General features: G+C 37.7%; 1 long non-coding RNA gene across 1 annotated transcript in view, besides 2 other annotated features; it reads left to right on the forward strand.

Annotated features, from left to right (window-relative positions):
- Positions 1–24199, forward strand: part of LINC01288 (long intergenic non-protein coding RNA 1288) — an 80878-nt gene that overhangs the window by 54815 nt on the left and 1864 nt on the right. The window lies entirely within an intron of this gene.
- Positions 18189–19388: an enhancer, noted in NCBI's record as "P300/CBP strongly-dependent group 1 enhancer chr8:34714442-34715641 (GRCh37/hg19 assembly coordinates)". NCBI's record gives its function as "activates an origin of replication core promoter dependent on BRD2, BRD4, P300/CBP, MED14 and CDK7 cofactors, with strong dependence on P300/CBP, by STARR-seq in HCT116 cells {active_cell/tissue: HCT116}" and the evidence as "EXISTENCE:reporter gene assay evidence [ECO:0000049][PMID:35650434]".
- Positions 21122–22111: an enhancer, noted in NCBI's record as "OCT4-NANOG-H3K27ac-H3K4me1 hESC enhancer chr8:34717375-34718364 (GRCh37/hg19 assembly coordinates)". NCBI's record gives its function as "activates a minimal SCP1, AML or CMV promoter by ChIP-STARR-seq in naive H9 embryonic stem cells {active_cell/tissue: H9 hESC(naive)}" and the evidence as "EXISTENCE:reporter gene assay evidence [ECO:0000049][PMID:30033119]".

The raw sequence follows: 24199 nt of genomic DNA on the forward strand, positions 1-24199 counted from the left end.
GCTGAGGGAATGCAGAGTGAACCAGATCATATCTCTGCCCATAGGCAACTTACACTGAAGATGACATGTAAGAGGAAGGGCAACTTTTATACACAGGGATGCTTAAATGGAGGGACAAAAGATGTCACCAATCAGCACAAGGGATGGCTGCCTCCCCTGTTCTTGAACAGATACTCAGAGCAGTTTGTACTTAGAGGGTAACAGAAAATACCATGGAAGCGAAGCATTGGGAGAGCACGGTCTCTGTGGATAGGAGAACTGTTCTAGTTTCATCCCTACTACTAACTAGCTCAGTGACCGATGACAAGACCCTGCTGTGCTCAAGAACTCATGTGCTCAAGTTTTCTCATGTAAAATGAGAGGATTTTAGACAACGATTTCTAACTTTATCTCCAGCTTCGATTTTTTTATGGTTCTGGGAAACTGCATTTTACCATCGACCACTTTAATGATAATGGAACCATTGGATGTTGCACTCCTTGCCATTCATTCTGTATTACATACATCAAGGCTAGAAAGAATAACCTAGCAAATGCAAACTCTAAACCTTAGTAATCATTTAAATTATAATCAGAGTCCAATAACTGAAATGTGAAGGTACAGCATCCATGGACTATGCAAAAGAACCAAAAATAATATGAAAGGTACAGACTTTGAATACATTTAATTACTTTTTAACAAAAGCATTAATCTCTACATGCATTACATATTTAATATACAATATTTTCCCTGTTCTTTAAAAGATAATTGCTTGGAAAGATGAAAATACCAGTGATTAAAAATTTCTTCTTGATGCATACCTATATTTTATAAAATATATATTAATTTAGACATAAAACTAAACATTTTAAATTTTTTTTAAAATAAGTATTTTAGCAGGCAATGATTTGAGTGGGTCTAATATCAGCCCACTGATAGTGAGTGATGCCTCCAAGTTCCTGGAATCACCATGATCCAAAACAACTAACCAGCGAGCCTCCAGCTATGATTCTCTCTTCATCTAGTCTCTGATGCATGTGGAGTCTCTGCCTTCTCGGTCTGCCATCACCTCACAAGAGTGAGAAGTTCCCAGGCCATTACGCCCAGGGTCCATCCAAGTCAAGGTGGCTGTAGAAACAAAATGTCCCTTCCCTTGCTCCCTGTTTTCCTACAATTCCCATTCATCCTTTTCCCCATGATCAACTCCATATTTCTCTGAAACCCTCCCTCATCCTGGCCTCTCTGACTTCCTAAACTTTCTCTCTATGAAATTGCAGCTCATGGACCAACAAATATTTCTCAGTCTTTAATTTCTTTTCTCATTACCTTAACTGACACCTGCTGATCTTCAGAGGGTATTGATTCCTCTAGACTGTCTGAGATGGCGGCAGTTTATTTTCCCAAATCTTATATCTTCAAACTAGAAATTGGTCTAGATTTATCTTTGCTACTTATTGCTGCTTTCAGATCATCACCCCACCAATATAATCTTAAAAGTCTATCTCTCCAAAGCTCATGATAGTTAGCCATATCCTTCTCTCCCGTCCTCTACTATTATAATTTGCCATGCCTCTGATAACTTCTAATTCATGAACAACTTCAGTACCTGAGACGTGCTTTCTCCCTGCTCCAAACTCTGCTCTCATTTGGAACAGCATTAACATGAATTTCTGAGACTCAATCGCAGGGGTCTCGGCTTCTCACCTCATGTCCATGGGCATCCTCTGGCATGCCTTGGCTACTTCATTATTTATCATTGCCTCACCTATCAAATTCCAGTCTAAGCATCTCACTTCAGCCACAGCCTTTGTGTTATCCAGGTGCTTCTTTTGCAACTACTACCACCACCCACCTTGACAAATTTTTTTTCCTGGATTATCCCAACTCTAAGAGAGACTTCAAGGTTCCATCTATAGCTAATCTTCCCTTCATACTCAGTAACAGAAAATTTGAATGTTGTTTTGGCACATGGAAGTCTGGAATAAACACCGAAGATGTCGACATCTCTTTCAGCTAGTGGTGACCATGTGACTACGTTTTGCAATTTCAGGAAGTATCACTGGAGAAAGAGTACAAGCTCTGCTCACTCCTTCCCCTTTCGAGCTTGTTAAAATTTAGACATAACAACTGGAATTCAGAAACTCTTTTGCTTCATGATGTAAATGTGGAAAAAAAGCCTCACACAGCAAATGAACTAGATGGAACACTGGAGCATGACCAACATTCAAAGATAGAACATCCCCAAAGTTAGTGAATGTTCAGGGAGATAAAACTTCTCTTTTTCTTAAGCTACTGTTATTGTTATCATCAATTGTTGTTGTGGTTTGGTTTGGTTTTTTTTTTTTTTTTTTGGTTACTCACAGTTGAACCTTATGATAGCCAATATAGCCAATATACCAATTATCCACTCCTCCATGCCTATCTCTTAGTAGCTCATTGATCTTGCTAGTAAGAGACAGACAACACAGAAGATGGCATCCATTGTACATTTATGATTCAATCTCAAATGATCCTTCAATACTACTCAAAGGTCCTACCACATTTCTGTTTACTCACTATGCCACCCACTACCTCTTAGACTATTTCTCCTCAAACTCTCCATTTGGTTTTCTCATCTTCCTATTTTACCAATAAAATATAATCCGTTAAACAGCAACTTCTTCATTTTCAAGATACCAAAAAAATAAATCCACGTTCTCTGTCACTCTTCTGTACAAGCCTAACTTCTTCAGTTGATTTCTCAAGAACAATTGCAAAATTACTGCTTCTCTATTTTGTAGTCAGCCTCTCGATCTCTAATAGATTTTTTTCCAATGTTTGTGTTGTTGTTGTTTTGGATATGATAACTGTTGCTGTTGGTTTACTCATTCAGATTTTTCTCCTTTTAGAAAAGAAAACATGCTCACTCAACTTCTCATCTGTGTATCTATTCCTTTTTCGCTCTTCTCCTCTACATATTTCCTTCAGTTTGGTGTAAAGTTTCTCAAAGGAGCTGTCTATTTATTCTTACATTCTTTTATTTCTCACCTTTCTCTCACATATCTACACAATAAAAAAAGAATCTAATCTACCATGCCTCTGAATGAGCTCTTACTACTGATACCATGGGCTGTGTCTCACTACAATCAACAAATAGTCTTGAGTCCTCATTTTACTTGACTTCCTGGTAGCACTAGGTGTTGATAACCACTTTGCCCTTTTTGAAGCATTCTTTTCCCTTAGTTTTTCTAAAATAACAGTGTCCTGTTTTTATTTCTACATTTTTGGCAACTCGTCTTCACTGTCCTTGTTTTTTAAATTCATCTATGAGGCATTAAAAATTGGAGTTGCTCAAGACTCAATCCTAATCTTTCTCTTTTCATTCCATATTTTCTTTCTAGGTAATATTATACAAAATCTTAGATAAATTTACCATCTAAATGCAGGTAGTTCATACAGTTGTACATCTAGCTAAGCTCTCCTTGGATTTCCAGAACACATTTGAGTTGATATATTCAATCACTTGAACCTAGAACATGTTAAATGCTTTATAAGTTTAGCAATTATTTTTATTGTATGTACAACTGCATGGTTGATGCCTTCTTTCAGATGTATCAGAGGTATCTCAAACTGTATGTTCAAAACAAGTCACCTGTATGTTGTCTGCCACCAATATGGTTTTTCTCCAGTGTTTCTGTTTCAGTGAGAGCTACCACCTACCATCTAGCTATAAAAGCCAAAAACCTGGTAGTCTTCTTTGATAATTGCTGTTTATTAATTTACCCACAAAAAATATCACGAATCCCTCTATCTCTATATCAATCTTTAATTCCCCCATCTCTTGCCTAAATTATGGCAACAATGTCCTAAACTTTTACCCCAAAAGCTCTTCTTTTTGCAACTTTGCAGCTGGAGTGATCTTTTGAAAATTAAAATTAATTTGTGTCACTCTTCCTTATGTCTTACCCAATTAAAAATAGCTCCATGATCTTGGGATAAGAGCAAGTGCCTCCTCATGGTCAGGAAGGCTTGTCATTGGCATTGACTTCTCCAGGTTCCTTTTGCCCTTTGCTCTTCTTCACAATCATTCTCACCTAAGCCACTGACTTTCTTTTGGTTCATTGTAATTTTCACGTTTCATCATAGCATAGACCTTTGCACATGTGATTTTCTCTACCTAGAAAATCTCCACTTCCTTACCTAGGTAATTACTATTTTGTTTAAGAAAGCTTTCTATGTGCTTCCTTTCTAGAACAAAGTCCTTCTATTAGGGCTATCATAGTGCTGGGCACCTTTTACAGCTCTTGACATTATCACAATTTCATGTTTTTGTTTTTGTTTTGAGACGGCGTCTTACTCTGTCACCTAGACTGGAGTGCAATGGCACGATCTCGGCTCACTGCAACCTCCGTCTCCCGGGTTCAAGTGATTCTCCTGCCTCAGCCTCCTGAGTAGCTGGGATTACAAGTGTCCACCACCACACCTAGCTCATTTTTGTATTTTTAGTAGATATAGGGTTTCACCATGTTGGCCAGGCTGTCTCAAACTCCTGACCTCAGGTGATCCGCCCACCTCAGCCTCCCAAAGTGCTGGGATTACAGGCATGAGCCACCGTGCCTGGCCAATTTCATGTTTTTTAATAAGATAAGTTGGTTAACATGTATCTTTCCTAATAGCCAGGAAGCAAATGGGTTATTCATCTTTGTGCCTAGGTTGGAGCAAAGTTGCTTTGCATCTAGTTCGTGTTCAGTAAATATATATTGCATGGATAAATGAATAACTGCCTAAGTTAATTTATCTCCTGTAAAGATCATCCACAGAAATTTCAGCTATCCTCTTTTCTTTCATTTTTATGTTTTCCTTCAGGAAATCTTCTATAACATGCTGAGGCTTTTAGATTTATTTTATTTGCTTTAAAACTAAACTTAAAATTGGATAATATTATTTTATAAAAGGCATAGAAGTTTGAAAATATTTGATGGTTCATTACTTGAATTATGTGTATATGGACAGATGCTTTCTCTCTTTTCCTTTATTCTACTTTTTTCTTTTCATTCTCAACATTAAAACCACTTTTTCTTGAAAGAAAAAGTAAGTCACAAGGGAGAGTCAAAGAATATTTGTGTAAGGAGAATGAGAAGGGCCATGAGGATCCTTGAAATGTTGGCAGGTGCCAGATATTTATGAGATTCCATGGAAAGGATCTTCAGGTACTTAAATGAACGAAGTACACCAACCAGTATTGCTCCTGTCCAGTGCCTTATCCAAGTCTAGTTCCAGAAAGTAGTATAGTACTAAGTAAAGTCTAGCAAAGGAGAGCATAATTCCTAGTTATCTAGCAGTGAATGAACCAAGAATTAACACTGTTGGGGAGCATTGCAGATGGCAATTCTTATGTAAGATTAATTGCCAAATGAGGGGTAAAAACAATAAGTGCTGATTTTGGATGAGAAACATTCATTAAGGGCTCAGGGACACCATAAGGCTTTGTGGATGAAAGACACCACTAGATGTGGGCCTTGATGGAGAGAACTTTGTTAGGTCGAGAGAATTAGGAAGAACATTCTAAACAGAAGCAGCGGAAAGAAACACTAGTCTGAAGAAGCACATTTTTAAGCAGCAATTAAGTGGCCAAGTCTGACTTAGAATTTGATAATTTACATAAGAGATAGTTGGAGATCTAAATCTAGAGATTATGTTGTTGATAAAGAAAATCTATTAAACATTTGACTAAGGGTATTTTAGGGATATGAACTTACTCAAAGTTATTGTCGAAAGAATAAAGCAGACAGAGAATGCAGACAGAACAGGGAGATTTCACCACGTATGTTTCTAATCTATGTTCATTAAATTGTGAAAGGAAAAAGAAACTCATATTTTTTGAGTACCTACTATATACTCAATCACACTAGATATTTTACATGCATGCCATTTTACTTTTAAAAAACACTTAAAAATTATCAGGTATTAACACTATTTTACAAAAAGCAAATCAGTACTTAGATTTAAGTTGTAAAATATTACTTATGTAGTAAGTAGTAGACTGAAGATTTAAAACTAGGTGTGTAGGATTATAAAACCTGTATTCTTCTGATTTATGACATTTTGCAATAGAAATGTAAAAAGTGAGGCAGGAAATGTATTATAAAATGTAATATAGAAAAATATGTTAAATGCTGAGTAATCTGAAATGAAAGTAGAGTTGACAGACAATTTTTAAGTGATGTTTTGAGTCTTCAGAGAAAGAGATACTGAATTAAAGAGTTATATCTAATAGTATTCATAGCTTTGGTCATATATCCCTCCAATGTCCAGCTCTTTGATAAGAACTGAATTACCAGCTATTGACTTAGCCCTGTCTTGGGTTAGAGGTCTCTTAAGCTGTCTCTTGACTGGAATCACAATTGGTACTCCTAAAATTTAACATTGAGCTGGAAATTTTGCTGCTATTGCTCTGATCTTTTGCCTCTAAACTTGTGCTTTGTTTCTAAAACAAGTTTTTGCTTCGTGTCCCAGTTCCAGTAACTTGAGTCTTTTCTTACGATGTGAGCCCAACTCCTTGCTCTAATTTCTTGCAGGAGTCTCATATTTTCCTAAATGAGCAATTTTACTTCTTTCTCCTTTTGCCTTTTCAGGACCAGATATCCTGCACTAAACCCAGACAAGTAGGCTCTCATCTTGCGATGTGCTGCCAGTCCTTGCTGCCCACCTTACTGATAGCAGTTTTGTTTTCCTAAGGAAGCTCATCTACTGGATTATTTCCATTAGCATCTTGCATATTTAACTAGCTCCATCTTAAACAACATTAAACAAACAAAAACCCCTCAACTCCACCTCATATATCACTCTTTTTTTTAACTTCTCTTTGCAGCAAAAAGTTTTTAGACATAATAAAAATTTACAACTCAAATTTTGATATAAAGCAATTGGCACTTTGATCCAGTTCTCTGACCAACCCACAGTCTCAAGAGAGGGTAGGCTAAAGTTCTTTACCTTGGAATGAAGAATAAGTAGAGTGTCTAGGCTGAAGAATGGCAGGATTGAATTAAGATGGCATGGAGTAGACATTAAATCCCTAGTATTTTTCCAGCACAATTTCAATCACTCTAATATCAGGAGACATCACAATCACTGCAGATGTCATGGGAGTCCAGATAGTCACAGGATCCAGAATCATCCCTGTCTATATTTGAACAGGAGTGGGCAACTGTTATGTGGTTGCGAACTATAGCCAGAACTTGCATGAATGTGGATCACACGGCTGGACCCTTAGAACTACCAGCATGATTGCTGCACAGGTCATTTTATTAACCTTGAAATAACGGCCCTCCACATTTTATACAATTGAAATTTTTGGACTCAGTTCATTGGATTATAGTAGGGTTTCTTGAAACCATGCTCTGTTTCCATTACTCTTTCCATTACTCCAAACCAGTAAAAATCTTGTTTTACTCTCTCTCACTTCACTGAAACTGCTTTTGTTAAGGTCACTGATGATAACCATAGTGCTAAATTGAATGTACAAATTATTTGTCTTTATTTTACTTGACCTGCATTCAATATACTTGACCACATTCTCTTATTTCTAACACACTCTTCTCTTGGCTTCCATGACAACATGTTCTGTTTGTTTTCTTCTTTCCTCTAGGGCCATTCTTTCTTAAGTTTCTTTGATTTCTCAGCCTCTTTCATCTGACCTCTAAATGCTAGAGCCTTCCAGGGTTCCATTCTAAATACTTTTCTATGACTACATGATCTCATTTACTTCTTTGAATTTAAATAGCATATCTATGCTAATTATTCTTAGGTTTATTTTTCTATTACATAATTCTTTTTTGAGTCTTAAGGTTGTATAGCCAGTAGCCAGTTACACTTAATTTTTCTCATAGACACCTCAAGTTTTATTAAAACAAAATTTTATTATAATCAATCTTGTTTTCCCAGTCTTTCCCCTACCTAATCCTATAAATATCCCCTATTTCTAAATTTTTCATCTGAGCATTCTCAAGGGTGTTAGATCTAGAAACTAAGGGTCAACTTTGATTCTTTTATCTCCCTTTGCCCTCTATTTAACACATGTGCATATCCTGTTAATTATATGTGTATGTAATATTTCAGAATCATCCACGTCCTTTATTTCCAAAATCATCCCCTTAGACTACCATCATCTCTTATTCGAAGTAGTGTAATAGACAACAGACTGGTCTTTCAGGGACTCATTCCCCTCCAATCTTTTCTTCACATGTTAGCAAAAGAGAGCCTCTTAAGAAATAAATTAAATAACAATGTCACTCCCCTGCATGAAACCCCTCAGTGGCTTCCCTTTCAACTCAGAAGATAACCCAGTTTCTTGAGCCCTCCCTGCAGGATACCGACTGAGAACTGGGCCACTAGCCTCATTTCTCACTGAATGCTAGCTCCATGGGTCTTCTCTAAAGTCCTCTGAAATGCAAGATCTTTGTCATCTCAGAAACTTTGAATTTGTCATTCTTTCTCTATAGGACCATTTTCCTCTCTTCACTTTGCTGTAGGTGTCAGCATAAATGTCAGCTCTACAAAAAAAAAAAAGGTTTTGATAATCTTAATTAAAATTGTTTTGTTTTTCAGCTGGTCCTGGTGAAGTTAAAAAATAAATAAACAATAAAATTAGTTTCTGCACAGATTTTATATCTCATGCCTTTATGTTTCCTTCTTAACATTAATCATTATATCTAAGTATTTATATGGCTTATTTATTTTGAAGGCATAGACTAAAACTGCTGTCCATAACTGTGTCCTTAACATTACTACTGTGGCTGATACACAGTAGATATTCAATAAATACCTCTCATATCAATGAATTGCAAAAAAGAGCTATTATAGAGGGAAAAAATTTAGGAAGGTATACTATCACAGAGAAAGAAGGAGGAGATCCTTTAAACGAGGAAATTTTGATGTATGGTGTTTTCTTTAGAGCATATAAGAAGAATCAGACCTACAGTTAAGAGACAATCTAGAAAAGTTAGAAAGTTACAATCACGTTTAAGAGGCTGTGTCTAACATTTTTTCTCCATATAACTAAACAAGAGCAAGGATTATGTAATCTCACTGGTCTGTAGAGGACTTGATCATTACATACCAAATCTTTGCTTATTTCTTTCTGGGAGATACTATGGTGACAATGGTCAGATAAAATGGTTTTAAGTGTTAGGTGTCAGTAGTCGTGTGACTTTACCAAAGTTATGTAACATCTTCAACCCTGAAAAAGGTCTCATTTATTGTTTAGGGGCGATAATAGCATCTGTTTCATGGTCATATTGTAAAAAATTAATGAAGTAGTATGTATATTTAACACAGTGTCTGGCATGTGTTAAGCACTCAGTAAGTGTTACATGTTAGCCACTATTATTCTATTTATAATGTAAACCACACTTATGAATTAATCTAGCTTTTCCCTAGGTGACAGTCACCACCTCAGCTAAGGCCTACTCCATCTCAACTCTCTCTTTGTCAGACTACAGGAACATCAAACTGTAGTGTGTGTCAGAGTCGTCACATGGGGAGATCGTTTAAAATGAGCATTCTTGGCTGGGCCCGGTGGCTCATTCCTGTAATCCCAGCACTTTGGGAGGTTGAAGTGGGTGGATCACCTGAGGTCAGGAGTTCCAGACCATTCTGACCAATATGGCGAAACCCCATCTCTACTAAAAATACAAAAATTAACCAGGTGTGGTGGTGAGTGCCTGTAATCCCAGCTATTCGGGAGGCTGAGGCAGAAGGATTGCTTGAAACTGGGAGATGGAGGTTGCAGTGAGCCAGGATCGTACCACCTGCACTCCAGCCTGAGAGACAGAGCAAGACTCCATCTCAAAAAAAAAAAAAAGTACATTCATGAGATGCACCCCAGAGATTCTTTCATAAATTTGGGGTAAGATCCAGAAATAAGTGCTTATACTAAATATTCCAGGCTATTCTTTATGAAGAAGCAGTTCTGGAACTTCATTTGGGGATAAGCTGACATGGAATAGATAGTTGTATTTTCTCCTTTTAGAGGGCTAGTATTGTGGAGTTCAAAAGGTACATTGTTTGCCAGTTGAAGTTGAAAGCAAACAAATAGGGAGGAGATTTGTTAAAGAAAAACTTTAAATGTATGAAAAGAGGACTTGAGAGGGCCATGAGATAGGGAAGTCCACTAGGGAAACTCACTGAACATCTGAGCATTAGAGCTTTCTCAAAACAAACCTTAATACTTTTTTTTCCACTTCAGTTTTTGGTTACGCATTGGTTTTTTTACTGATATTTTTGTTTAGTGGGAAATAAGTATTTAATATACCAGTAGCATCACCTTGAACAGAAAGAACAATCTCTCGATGTTGAAAGGCAGCCCAAGGGATCCTTAGTTCATTTGTTGAGGCTGAGAGTGTTTGTAGGGTTCTTCATCGTAGTGGGAGGAGCAGTTACATGAATCATGAATATGCTGTGCTGCAAATGAATCTTGAAAACATGAGAGATGTCTATGTAATTGCACTAGCATTACTATCTATATTTTGCCCTTTCTTTTTCTGTACTATTGGGTAGTTACAGCCAAGTAAATGAGAATGGTAAACATAACAATTATATATTAAACATAACATTAACAATGTTAAAAATATCTCATAGAGATATACCAATTTTTAAAAATATAAAACATAACATTCATTACACAAAAGCATTTAAATCATGCCTTTTGAGGTATGAATCAGTGTATTCTCTCCTCAAATTCATTTACTTCTAATTTATTCACAGACAGACTTTCTTTTATCTTATGGGTTGAATGACTTTTTTTTTCCCAATCGACTTTATTTAACAACAACAACAAAGATCAGATTTGGTGAGCATTTCTCCATGTGTTTAGATGTCATATACCACACCCTTAATTTGAAAGCAAAGTAAGATAGGAAGCTCTTTGTTCTCCAGCTTTCTTAAGAAAGGAGATGTGCCTGTTGATACTTCTTCAGTTGTCTATGATCACAAAGATGATTGAGGGTGACACAAACAACCCATCAAATTTTAACCTTCCACTTTTAATATGAATTTCTGCCACCTCTTTTGTGTATGAGAGTAATGAATACTTTCTTTTTAAGTGCAATGGAATATGCGTCTTCAATAAAGATCAAAGTTTCTTTGTTCTATTTACATCAAATCTTCCCTCAATTTTTGCCATTTAGCTGCCAGCGTAATTGCAGATGATATGCTGTGTCTGGATACCATAGAATCAAAAATGATTAGAAGTAATTGCTAGCTATCCTAACTTTCCTTGCTATAAAGTTGCCAATAAACTGACCAGAGGGCACTCAGGTGAAGTTACCTCAGGAAAGGAGGTATCCCCTTATTGCCTACAGCAACTACAGTAGGATTCAAGTCTCTCAAATACATATCCTCAAATTATCTTCCTTGCTTCCTCACTACTGATGTTTCCTATGGACCTGATGACTCAAAATCAATCAGCCTAACCTGTCCTAGAAGGTACTGAGTCACTGAGTCTATGGAGATACATCTAACCAAGGCTATAATAAAGTAATTGCTTATTTGATGAATAGTTTTTTGTTCCGTCATATTCCAAGTATTATGCTAAGCACTGGAGATAGCGGGATGAATAAGACATCTGTGATAACTACTGCATGAACTTTCAGTCTAGTAGGAATGAGACACAATTAAACAATCAATGATAATAAATTCTGATAACTACTACTTAGCAAGTATATAAGGAACAATTAGAAAAGTTAAAAAGGGCAACTACTCTTATCTAGTGATTAGAAATGGCATTCTGAGGGCAGTGAGACTTAGGTTGAAGCTGGCTTGAGGAACTGAGAAAAGAAAAAAGTAACTTCGGGGTAAGAAAAAAAAACACATGTTCAGTTGCCATGAAATAAGGAAGTACAGAACATTTGAATGTCCAAAACAAATACAACATGATAAATTATAAAATGTAACAGTTCATGGAGCTTGATAAGAGACTATAGAGTTAGGTATAACATAGATTATGGGAGAAACACTCCCAAAAAGTTTCAGTTGCATTCCAAGAGCAATGGAAGGCTATAGGAGGGTTTTAAACAGGAAAAATCAAATCATATTCTAACTGTTAAAAGGTTCACCCTGAAAACAACATACTGGGTGAACTGTAACAGAACAAGACTAAATCTGAGAGGCTTGCTAGGGATTGATGCCATTAACCAAACAAGAGCCAAGGGATCTCTGAAAAGGATGATAGCAAGTGAGCACTAGAGAAAATGAATGTATTTGAATGAGAGTTTGTCACTGAAAGCAACAAAATGACAATTTCATGTAAAACAATAAAGGTTCTGTGTCTAATAAATGAATGGCTCAGTCCATTAAAGTTAGAATGGCCATAGAATCTTCAGCCAACTAGGCATTGTGTCAGGGAGGTAAGTGCCATCCCTGCTTGCACTTCTACTTCCACTCCTCTACCCCCACTTCTTTCTCCTCTTCTCTCTGCCATTGCCTCAAAGTGGCCTAGACTGGTGCATGCCCCATCTGCATTAGAGGCAATGAGACAACAAATTTATTAGGACAAAATGAAAGGGTGATGAGAATTTAGGGTACTTTTAAAAGACTTGTTGAATTAGTTGACTCAAAATTGAATAAGGAAAGGAGAAATACAGGAGGAGTCTGAGAGACAAGGGGTAGAAGCATTTAGTGAGTTTAAAATCCTGCTATGACTAATGAACAGGTAGACTGACAGCAGTAACTAAGCAAGACAGAAAATGGCTAACTCCATAAGTTCAAAGACAGCTCTTCATAAGAAGACATGAAGAGCAACATTCAATTTTGAGTCAACTAATTCAACAAGTCTTTTAAAAGTACCCTAAATTCTCACGACCCTTTCATTTTGTCCTAATAAATTTGTTGTCTCATTGCCTCTAATGCAGATGTACAAGACATGACCAGGAAAAGAAAGGCAAAAAGGACTAAAGAGAAACACCAGCCAGGCAGGCTGGTTCATGCTTTAAAACAGTTAAAAAGAGAAAAGCATAACAAATTATTTTACTCAAAGTTTTATGTGACATGGGAGCCCCAAAAAATGAAAATCCAAAACCCAGAGAAAACTTTCTATTTTTAGGCTTAAGTTTGATGAAGAATGCACAGCCATGTAGAAACATGATTGGACAAAAGGGTATTATGGAAGTCTATATCAGTCACTTAGCTTCAGTTTGTGGGGCTTCAGGAAGAAGGCAGTCTTAATGTCAATGGCCAAGCTAGAAGGGTGAGAGAAAAATTATAAATATTAGTGTAAAGAATCATAGCCAGATATAAGAGGAAACTGGAAGAATTTAAGATCCAGTCCAGATTTCAGGTGGATAACAAATCCCCAGAAACAGTGAGCTAGAATCTAATAATCGGTGTACTGTAGTTTTTTTAATGTAATTTTTCTCTCTAAAATTACCTCCATTTCTGCCAAAGATAATCAAAGTGACACTAATTTGTTCATAAAATAAGTCTAAACTCATTAAACTTGGTCTGATTATTTATATAAGTACAGCAAGAATAGTGACTGACCACACAGGATCTCTTTAAGTTTGCTTTGATGAAAATTTTCATAAGGAACTTCAGATTAAACTTTTAAGAAGCCTCTCAAGGATAGGAAGCCAAGCCAAAAACTGATCATCAAACTATTTCGTACTGCAGCTGACTGAATGCTTTTTAAAAAGAATGAAAACAATAACTGAATTACAAATATTTAGAATGACTTTGGTTGAAAATCTGATGAGTTTCTCAAGTTAATGGTGCAACTCATGAGGAAATTTGGTTATTTTCATGGCATATAACATTTTAACATAATAACCAAAATTATGATTGATAACATATCAGATTCCTAGGAATTTTACATAAACTTTGAAATACTCATATCAATGGCAGGCATCACTTATTTGGCAATGTTTCTCACATAATTTAACATATAAATAAGCCAAATTCATTTACTATTGCTCTTGTACAAGGTGAGACAGACATCCTTTCAGCTTTTCAGTGGCAAAACTGGGAAATTCCAAAGATAATTCAAGGTCAAAAGACTAAGTTTAGAATAGGATTAAGGGAAGTTTGTCAAAAATATAAGTAGGTTTAAACAATTAGATAGGGTCTTCTTGTTCACCTATTTAATCAAAGCAACAGCAAAATATTTTAAAGGCAAAAACAGAAGGTCACATAGTTGCAAAAAGCAACTTACCTCTTTTAACATTAAGAAGACTCACTTTTCTTAAGTAATCAAAGGCCTGACAAAAGATAACAATAATTACAAAAAAATTAATAAAACACATATTTGTTTCCTAAGCAACAGCTTGTAAAAAAAGAAAACTAAATTTTCAGACCAATACTCCATTTTAACACACTAAGTTTGACTTCTGCATCTGTGTAATATTAATACTAAAGGCTAATTTTTAATGAAATCTTTTAAATAAATTCATTCAATCTCAGTAAGCTTTAATCACACAATATAAGATTTACACAAACCTTTTATAACCTTTTTTCATATAATCAGCTCTGTTTTTTGAAGAAAACTCATTCCTCATACTTTTCCTTATCAAATACACCTTACTTTTCTCATATACATAATTGTTTCCCTTGTAATTTCTAGTAATGTAGTCACATTAATTAATTGTAATACTTAACTCTTAGTTATCTTTACTTCTAGTGAAAGCTAGCACGGATTGTGAACTGTATTACATCAGCATTCACTATTTTATAATTTTTAGAAACTCACTTTATCTCAATTTTTATTAATAGAACCAAATATATTTAGCTTCCATATACCATATGAAAACAAGGGATGCCAACATATATAAACTTAAATTTATGCTTAGCAATTTATGTTTCAGTATTTTAACTTACTTAGAAATGACCCCGATAATGACTATCTGTTAATTTCACTTTAAGGTTGTAAGTTACCAAATATATTTTTGAAACAATTTTTAAATAGATATTTTGTAAAATATTGTCCTCTACCTGGTAGAAATCAGAGTGTGTTCTCACTGGTCACAACGCCAAACTCTCAGGACACAAAATGAGACAAACAAGAAAGAAAAAGCTGTCCCTGAGAGGGAAAGGACCAACAAGAAATGGGTATCCCCAAACCAAAACCAGATTTACAAAAGACTCACAATCCAAACAAATGATTTTCTCCAGCTAACCTGAATTTAGAAAGGGAGGGATAAAGAGAAATGTTTACTTTCCATTCTCAATCAGGCACTCAGTCTGAGATCCAGGAGAGCTGACCTTAGTAAAAAGTTCTTACCTTTTCTTGCCTGGCTTTTCGTCAGTTGTTCCAGATTCTCATCTGCAGGCTCTGGAGCAAGTCACGTGTCTCAGCCACCCTGAGTTGTGTGCCAAAACTGCAGGGTTAGAAAGATGTGATCCCTTTCCTCACCCATCATAAGCGTCACAGCCAACAGGTATATTACAAAAGACAGGCTCTCAAGAGAAAAGCTTAACAAATTCATTTAAGCAAAATTTTATGTGACACAAGAGCCTTCAGAAATGAATACCCATAGGCCCAAGCAAAACTGCCTGGCAGTGATGTAAAAATGTGATTGGAAAAATCAATATGACCTAATGGTAATAGATGGAGGTAGTGGGGAACCCCACCAAGGCCTGTCTGTTCAGATTCTTCTTGGCTGCTGTGTGTAGCGTTCTTTCCTCCTGGGTAGAGGGCAGGACCTCTCTAGAATGAGAGATTCAAGGGAGAAGGGAGAAGGAAGAGAATGGCCTTTCTAGGTTTATGATTTCCTTTGGAGGAAAGGGTTCTAGTCTCTATGACCCACCTTGGGGAAGAGGGATTCTGGTTTCTATAATTGGCTTCGGGAGAGAATGAGGGGTCAGAGACAGGAGAGCAAGAGAAAGTCAGAGAGGTCTCAGGCCCTTCTAATCTCTTTTCATTTTAACTATTTAGCAGGCCAGAGCACCAAACTTTGAGTATTATGTCATGAGCCCCAACATATTAATATCTCTTGATAGATTTTCTGCCAAGATCAAGGGAAACACAGATTTTGGCTCGCATGCCAGCTTTTATCAATTGATTGTCACTCCCTAGAGTACTCCTTTAACAAGGATTGTTGAGATTTCTTCCAGGCACTGCAGAAAAGAGCATCTTAATAGCCTTAGGACCCATGTCATTGGTTCAGGATTTTGGCATGATGGTAATTGTCAAACATACTTGCCCTTTAGAGCTTTTAAACCTATGTTAAAGTGACAATCCTTGTGTCCTCAGTAGAGACATTATCTGTATCTACATTCCAATTCTCAGTAATCTTTCATCTGTGGAAATTCTAAGAGATCCTATTGTCTAAAATGTACAATTTAGATTATCAATTACTGTCTATTGCTCTGGGTTTATCTTCCTTTACTGACTAGATTGTTAAGCAATGTGAAAGCAAGAATCCTCTTTCCCCAGTTATTAGCTATGTGGCTTCGGCCAACATAATTGTATCTGTCAGCTATTGCTACATTAAAAACACCCCAAAACTCAGTGGTATGCACCAATCAAAGCTGGTTATTATGCTCAAAAGTCTTTTGGTAAATTGGGGTGAATCTGTTTCAAATTGCAGGTCTTCAGATTGGTTAGATTGTCTCAGTTACCAAGGATTCCAGGAACAGGCACCTAAGGTAGCTATGTTCAAAATGTCTACAATTATTTGTGGACAAATGGGCTGCCAAGGTCACATTGTTTTTTTAGCAATGGCAAAAACCCAGAGAGATGGCTCTAATGGAGAAGCACATTTCAAGTCTCAGATTGAATCATGTTTTACCACACCTTTTGGCCAAATCAAGTCCATGGCCCAGCCCACTCTCATCAATGAAGTAGGAAAATGTACTCCACCCACAGTAGGACAGAGAAAGGGTGACTATTTGCTGAATCCAAACCCCAATATGATTCTTTTTCTGCAAACTAAAAGTAGTGATAACATGCAGAACTCTGAGGTTGCTTTGTGACAAGTGGAAAGAAAATGCTTGACATACATTGGCATTCAATAAACATTTGTTGACTTATTGAATTCCTCTCTCTACCCTCACACTATATACAACGTGTGATACGCAGCTGGATTTTAGTGATTTACTAGACTTTGATCCAGAAATGATTTCCAGATTTTAGCTCTGTTTCAGGTTGTAACCTTAGGCAAATTCAGAAATGCTTCACTTGATTTCATCTGGCATTTAAGTTCTATATCTCTGACATACTGTTATCAGAGAATACTTCGGGTTTCTGGAAAATATATGTTTTACCAAGTATTCAAATATCATAGCTTCTAATCAGACCTTAGCAATAATTGGGTGGAAAATGTCACCTATTAAATTACTAATTTTTTTATTTTAAGTACAAACTACTTTCCACTAGTGAAATTAACCTTTCCATCGTTCAGACACCAATTCTTGTACTACATAAAAGTCTCAAACTCAAAACCTTTGGCTTTGAAGCTTTATAAATAAGTTCTCATGAAGTATTAATACATCCTCTCCAGGCCACAAGGAAATAAGTCATAATAAATAAAAATATAATATCTTTAAATCCATAAAAGAATACATTTTAAAAGGAATAATCAGAAAACTAAGTTACCAGTAATTTATCACTTAATAGTTTCCAAAAAAAAAAATGCTTTGCCTGACATCTTAGTCACCTATGATAAAGGAGAGTGCAATGTGATAGATATCAGTTTCTTTAAGCAAAAAGCACCTTCCAGGAGACTTTATTTAGAGAAGTACCAAGAAGGCAAGAATTTTCACTCTGTGGAATGCCTGCTGTTTACAACAGAATCTGTCAATTTTTTTTTTAATGTTGCATTTCCTAAAACCTGGGACAGGTTTGTTGACTGTATTAGGATATTAATAAATATTTGTTCTCTCATCCCACTGTATTTTCACATTTTTCTCAGTATATATCTATACACTTTGTATGAGGGAAAATAATAGTAAATAGTAATATTTATAATGTATACATCAGACACTCTTCTAAATGTTTTACTTTTAATTTCTAACTACTGTAAGGGAGATATACTATTATTATCTTCATTTTACAGATGAGAGCATTCAGATACACAGAGGGTAAGTAGACCACTGAAGTCACAAAACTAGTAAGTGTCAATAACCAGGATTAAAACTCAGGCTTTCTGGCTTTCTGGATTCCAATCTATGCTCCTAACCATTATGTTATCAAGCTAACTTGGAAAATGCATGTATTTTTAGAATGGCACCATGGCATATTGAGTAAGAACATAAGTTTTAGAATGAAAAGGTCTCCATTAAAATCCAATTTCTTCTCTTTATTAGCCCTGCAACCTTGGGCAATATTCTTAACATCTCTAAAACTCTGTTTTTTTTTTTCTCTGTGTCGATGAAAGTATATTTACTTCAAAGGGTTATTAATGGTATAAGAATGTATTTAGCAGAGTATTGGCATATAGTAAACTGGAATTATTAATACTATTTAGTCTAAGTATCCTGGGAAATTAAATGGCTTGCCCAAGGTCATACATCTAGTTATGGAAGAGTGAAGTCTAAACTATGGATTTCTTCATTCAAAGTTCAGTGCTTTACACTTGCATTGGCCACCCCACAGGGATTTCTTACATTCCATGACAAGGCGAGATGATACAGAAAGGAAACACACTGCCTTAAAATGTGGTGATAAATCATAAAGTGTGGTTAAGTTTACAAATGCATTGCAACACTTCGATCACTGTTTGCATTTATCATGGTCTATTCCTCAATAGACCAGAAAGGGTAATTAACAGAATATTTACAACAAAGCCAGATTTCTCCATGGGGGGGTTTCCATTCAAATTTGAGGCCTCAGTTAAATTTACATCATCAATACCTACATCTTTTAGTAAATGCTTATTCATTTCCAGCTCTAAATCCTAACCTTTATCATTAATCACTTAAGAATTCCAGGCATCTGGCCGGGCGCGGTGGCTCACGCCTGTAACCCCAGCACTTTGAGAGGCAGGCGGGTGGATCACTAGGTCAGAAGATCGAGACCATCCTGGCTAACACGGTGAAACCCCGTCTCTACTAAAAATACAAAAAATTAGCCGGGCGTGGTGGCAGGCGTCTGTAGTCCCAGCTACTCCGGAGGCTGAGGCATGAGAATGGCGTGAACCCGGGAGGCGGAGCTTGCAGTGAGCAGAGATCACGTCATTGCACTCCAGCCTGGGCGACAGAGTGAGACTCCATCTCCAGAAAAAAGAATTCCATGCATCTTTAGATTTTTGTATCTCAGCATTTATCTGCCAGTTTCTTGCTTAGCATAGTTTATCAAGCATTTTTAAAAATCTACTCGTTACCAAACCATGACGTTATTTTTTTATTCTCCCTAGTTTAATAGGAGTCAATATATGTATAAGGGGCATATTTTATTTGCCTGGCATTTGGGATTATTTTTAAAGCTATATACAGGCATTAGAGCACACAACCTATTTTGTGTCCTTGTTATATTTTGCATTACTAAAATTATCTATTTTGCATTTAATTTTTAGGAAGTCAATTCGGCACACTCAAAGTGGCTTTAGACATCTCTGTGGTTTGCCCGGCATTATTCCAGAAACTCCCTAAACACTGCTTTTTAAAGTCATATTTTTGACGACGCCCCCGCCCCCACCGATGCTTTCTGCAAATATTTTCTGTACATTCTCCAAGTCAGATTTGATTTAGCCCCACAGCTTTATAAATGTCCCTGAAACACATGGGGTAAACTGTAATTGATGACTCAGCACGTTTCCATCACATAAGAATCCAATTTCCAGTGGCACCACTTACTGTTTATTGTGCTGAGATCAATAGTTGAAAGAACCCTTAACCCAGCCGCGTGCCCCACTACCCAACACGTATTCATAATACCAGTCTATAAATTCAATAGAAATATTAGGTTACAGGGGCATCCATGCTCGGAATAGCAAGATTTCTTGAGTTTTTGGAGTATGCTTCAAACAAGTTGCTCTTCTGACTCACCAAAGTCTTTCAGAATGAAAGTGCACCACAAAGCGGGACTCTCTGAACCACTAGAATTGTGCGTAGCTGAGTACATGGGCAAGGTGAGTTCTGAGGTATTTTTAGGACAAAAAAGCTCCTGCTTTCCCATCTGTTAGGTTGGTGCAAAAGTGTGGATTTTGCCATTTGAAAGTAATAGCAAAAACCACAATTCCTTTTTTTTTTTTTTTTTTTTTTGAGACGGAATCTCGCTGTCACCCAGGCTGGACTGCAGTGGCGCCATCTGGGCTCACTGCAAGCTCCGCCTCCCGGGTTCGCGCCATTCTCCTGTCTCAGCCTCTCGAGTAGCTGGAACTACAGGAGCCCGCCACCACGCCAGGCTAATTTTTTTTGTATTTTTAGTAGAGATGGGGTTTCACCGTGTTCGCCAGGATGGTCTCCATCTCCTGACCTCGTGATCCGCCCGCCTCGGCCCCCCAGAGTGCTGGGATTACAGGCATGCGCCACCGCGCCCAGCCTACTTTTGCACCAACCTAATACTTAGTTGACTGTAAGAACTGACATTCTTGTATGTGTGAATGTTTCCTATTTGCCCAACCTTTTCAAATCAGTTGTTGAGATTCCCTCTTCTGGGTCTTAATGGGATTTTGCAGCACAGCTGTCCAGGGGATTGCCCCGAACTGAATGTAGATTCAGAGCTACTGATCTGCTTGAAACCGCTTTTCTTTTCTTCTTCGTGTGTGTGTGTGTGTGTGTGTGTGTGTGTGTGTGTGTATGTGTTTGTTTTTAAAGAGACAGAGTAGTCTTGCTCTGTCACCCACACTGGACTGCAGTGGCACAATCTTGGCCCACTGCAGCCTCAAATTCCTGGGCTCCAGCAATCCTCCTGCCTCAGCCTCTCAAAGTGCTGGGATTACAAGCTTGAACCACCACGCCCTGCCATTGTTCTTGTATTCCTTATATATTCGTGACAAATGTAGCTGCAAATATTTTTTTGGACACATGTCACATCAAAACCCTAGAAAAACGTTAAATTGGACAAGATGTATTTCATGGAAACTTTCAAAACACACAAAGCTTGGAAGCAAGCACTTTATTTTTTTCTTTTTTCTTTTTTTGAAATGAAGTCTCACTCTGTCGCCCAGGCTGGAGTGCAGTGGCACAATCTCAGCTCACTGCAAGCTCTGCCTCCTGGGTTCAAGCAATTCTCCTGCCTCAGCCTCCCGAGTAGCTGGGACTAAAGGTGTGTGTCAGCACGCCCGGCTAATTTTTGTATTTTTGGTAGAGATGGGGTTTCACCATGTTGGCCAGGCTGGTCTCAAACTACTGACCTCATGATCCACCTGCTTCGGCCTCTCAAAGTGCTGGGATTACAGGCATGAGCCACTTGCCTGGCCTGGAAGTACTTTTGAACCTTTGGTTCTTACAATAAGAGAAGCAAATTTACATAAATTTCCCCAGTAGATTTTAATGTTTTCTGACTTAAATTGTTTTAAAAAAATAAAATAAAGTAGGCAATATTTTCTTTGTATGCTTTGTTTCATGCGCGTCCCTGTGAAGAGACCACCAAACAGGCTCTGTGTGAGCAATAAAGCTTTTAATCACCTGGGTGCAGGCGGGCAGGCTGAGTCCGAAAAGAGAGTCAGCGAAGGGAGATAAGGGTGGGGCCGTTTTATAGGATTTGGGTAGGTAAAGGAAAATTACAGTCAAAGGGGGTTTGTTCTCTGGCGGGCAGGAGTGGGGGTCGCAAGGTGCTCAGTGGGGGTGCTTTTTGAGCCAGGATGAGCCGGGAGAAGGAATTTCACAAGGTAATCTCATCACTTAAGGCAAGGACTGGCCATTTACACTTCTTTTGTGGTGGAATGTCATCAGTTAAGGTGGGGCAGGGCATATTCATTTCTGTTGTGATTTTTCAGTTACTTCAGGCCATCTGGTCGTATACGTGCAAGTCACAGGGGATGCGATGGCTTGGCTTGGGCTCAGAGGCCTGACAGTTTGCTTAGGCTAGTTCACTGGTTACTGAGCTAAATCCAATGTGTTACCCCTCAACCCCACAGGCTGTGAAGAGATTTTTACTGAATTTTATCCCAACTAAGATTTTACCTGAAGACTTTATTGTTTTAAGGCAGGAAAATTAGTTTGAGGAGAGAGCAATCTTTTGTTTACCAAAAAGATTCAATGAGCCATTTTGATTTTAGATTTTGGTAACTAGACAAGGGAAATAAGACCAAGGGAAAGATAAAGAGCATTGCATAATAAAATAAAGGAAAAAATGAGTTTCTAGGCATTGCTGGAAAGAGAGGATGAAAAGATCCATAAATGGGGAGAAGACACAAAAACCAGCGAGAGGAGGCCAGGGGTAGCCCTGCACAAAGACCAGGAATCTGAAGGGCTAAGACAGCCAGGAGATGGAGGTGAGGATGCCTGAGGATTTCATGACAAAAGGCACGGTAATGCTCGATTTCAAGTTGTTGACTCTATGATGACTGCGTGCAGTCCCATTCATTACTCTTGATCTTCATCAAAAAGTCTGCTAGACACAGCTGGTTGTGTGAGTGACATTTTTAAAAGTTAACAGACTTTAAGCACCTGGCCGGGCACGGTGCCTCACACCTGTAATCCCAGCACTTTGGGAGGCCGAGGCAGGTGGATCCAGAGGTCAGGAGTTCGCGACCAGCCTGGCCAAGATGGTGAAACCCCGTCTCTACTAAAAATACAAAAAAATTAGCCTGGCGTAGTGGTACACGCCTGTAATACCAGCTACTCGGGAGGCTGAGGCAGGAGAATCTCACTTGTACCCAGGTGGCGGAGGTTGCAGTGAGCCAAGATTGCGCCACTACACCCTACTGTAGCCTGGGCGACAGAGCAAGACTCCATCTCAAAAAAAAAAAAAGAAAAAAGAAACTTTAAGCACTCAAAATGTAGCTTTGAGAAGAGCTAAGGGGTGTGGAACAGAGAAAATGAGTCAAAATTAAACAAAGATGAATCAGAAACAAGAGATGAGAGAAAAAAATGGTAAAGAAACTGTAAACCCTCCCAAAATACCTGGCATCCCAAAGGAAAAAGAGATAAGATCGTAGGTTTTCTTCCATAGACGATAGCATAAGAGTCCAAACCAACTTATTTGCTTTATATCAAAACAAAGGTTGCATAGGCTAATGAGCCTGGGGACACGTGGGCCATCACATGATCATACAAGGATGTTTACAGAGGAGAGACAGAATTTAAGGATAAAAATACAACAAACAGAATGACTTTTGGCCAGGTGTGGTGGCTCACTTTGGGAGATCGAGGCAGCAGGGACACTTGAGGCCAGGAGTTTGAGGCCAGCCTGGGCAACAAAGCAAGACATTGTCTCTATGAAAAATTAAAATATTAGACGGTCATGGTGGTGCATGCCTGTATTCCCAGCTATTTAGAGGGCCAAGGCAGGAGGATCACTTGAGCTCAAGAATTAGAGATTGTAGTGAGTATGATAGCACCACTGCACTCCAGCCTGGGTGACAGAGGGAGGCCCTGACGCAAAAAAAAAAAAAAAAAAAAAAAAAAAAGAATGACTTTCCTTTCTCTTTCCTTACTGCTTCTTATGTTCCGCCTGTGCCACCAAATTTTTGGCTTCTCTTAACCCTGATATTTCTGAGCTTCAGGTCCTGGAAATGAAGGGAAGAGGAAGAGTCTTAATGGGGGCTGGCAGATTAGATTAAGCTTGCAGCTGCAATTGCCCTTCCCTCAGCCTTGCATCGCCTGCCCATATCACTACATATACATCCACATCACACATCTACAGACTTCTACATCTTCTAATTCAATTTTTTTAACTTAAAGAATTTTATGTATCAGACTTGAAATGGGTCTTGCCATGGTATTCAGACAATTGAAGCAAATTTAATGATCAATGCCCTGAGACAGAATAGAAACAATTCCAGAATGGCAAGGCAGGATGCTGATCAGTGTCTTGAGAGTCTAAAGGCAGTTCCTGCTCTTCTGGAGAATGGGGTAGGATTATGAGACTGAAGAAGGTGACAACCTTCTGCTTTACTTACATGAGTCCATGGCTTGCCTTTGTTTTCTCAAATTTGAGAAGTGATCAATTTTACTAATAATGTTCCAGGGAAATGTACACATGAACTGAAAGATGCTTCTGTAAAACCATCTCTAAAGCACAGTCAGAGTTACTCGTTTAAATCAATGTTATGACCAGGAAGGTTGAGTAATGCATTTTGGTTTACTTCTGTTTGGAAAACATATGGTTCAAGTTATAATTCTGCCCACAACAACCACCTTACTT

The sequence above is a fragment of the Homo sapiens genome, chromosome 8 (assembly GCF_000001405.40).
Source record: "Homo sapiens chromosome 8, GRCh38.p14 Primary Assembly".
In the NCBI taxonomy this organism is placed as follows: domain Eukaryota; kingdom Metazoa; phylum Chordata; class Mammalia; order Primates; family Hominidae; genus Homo; species Homo sapiens.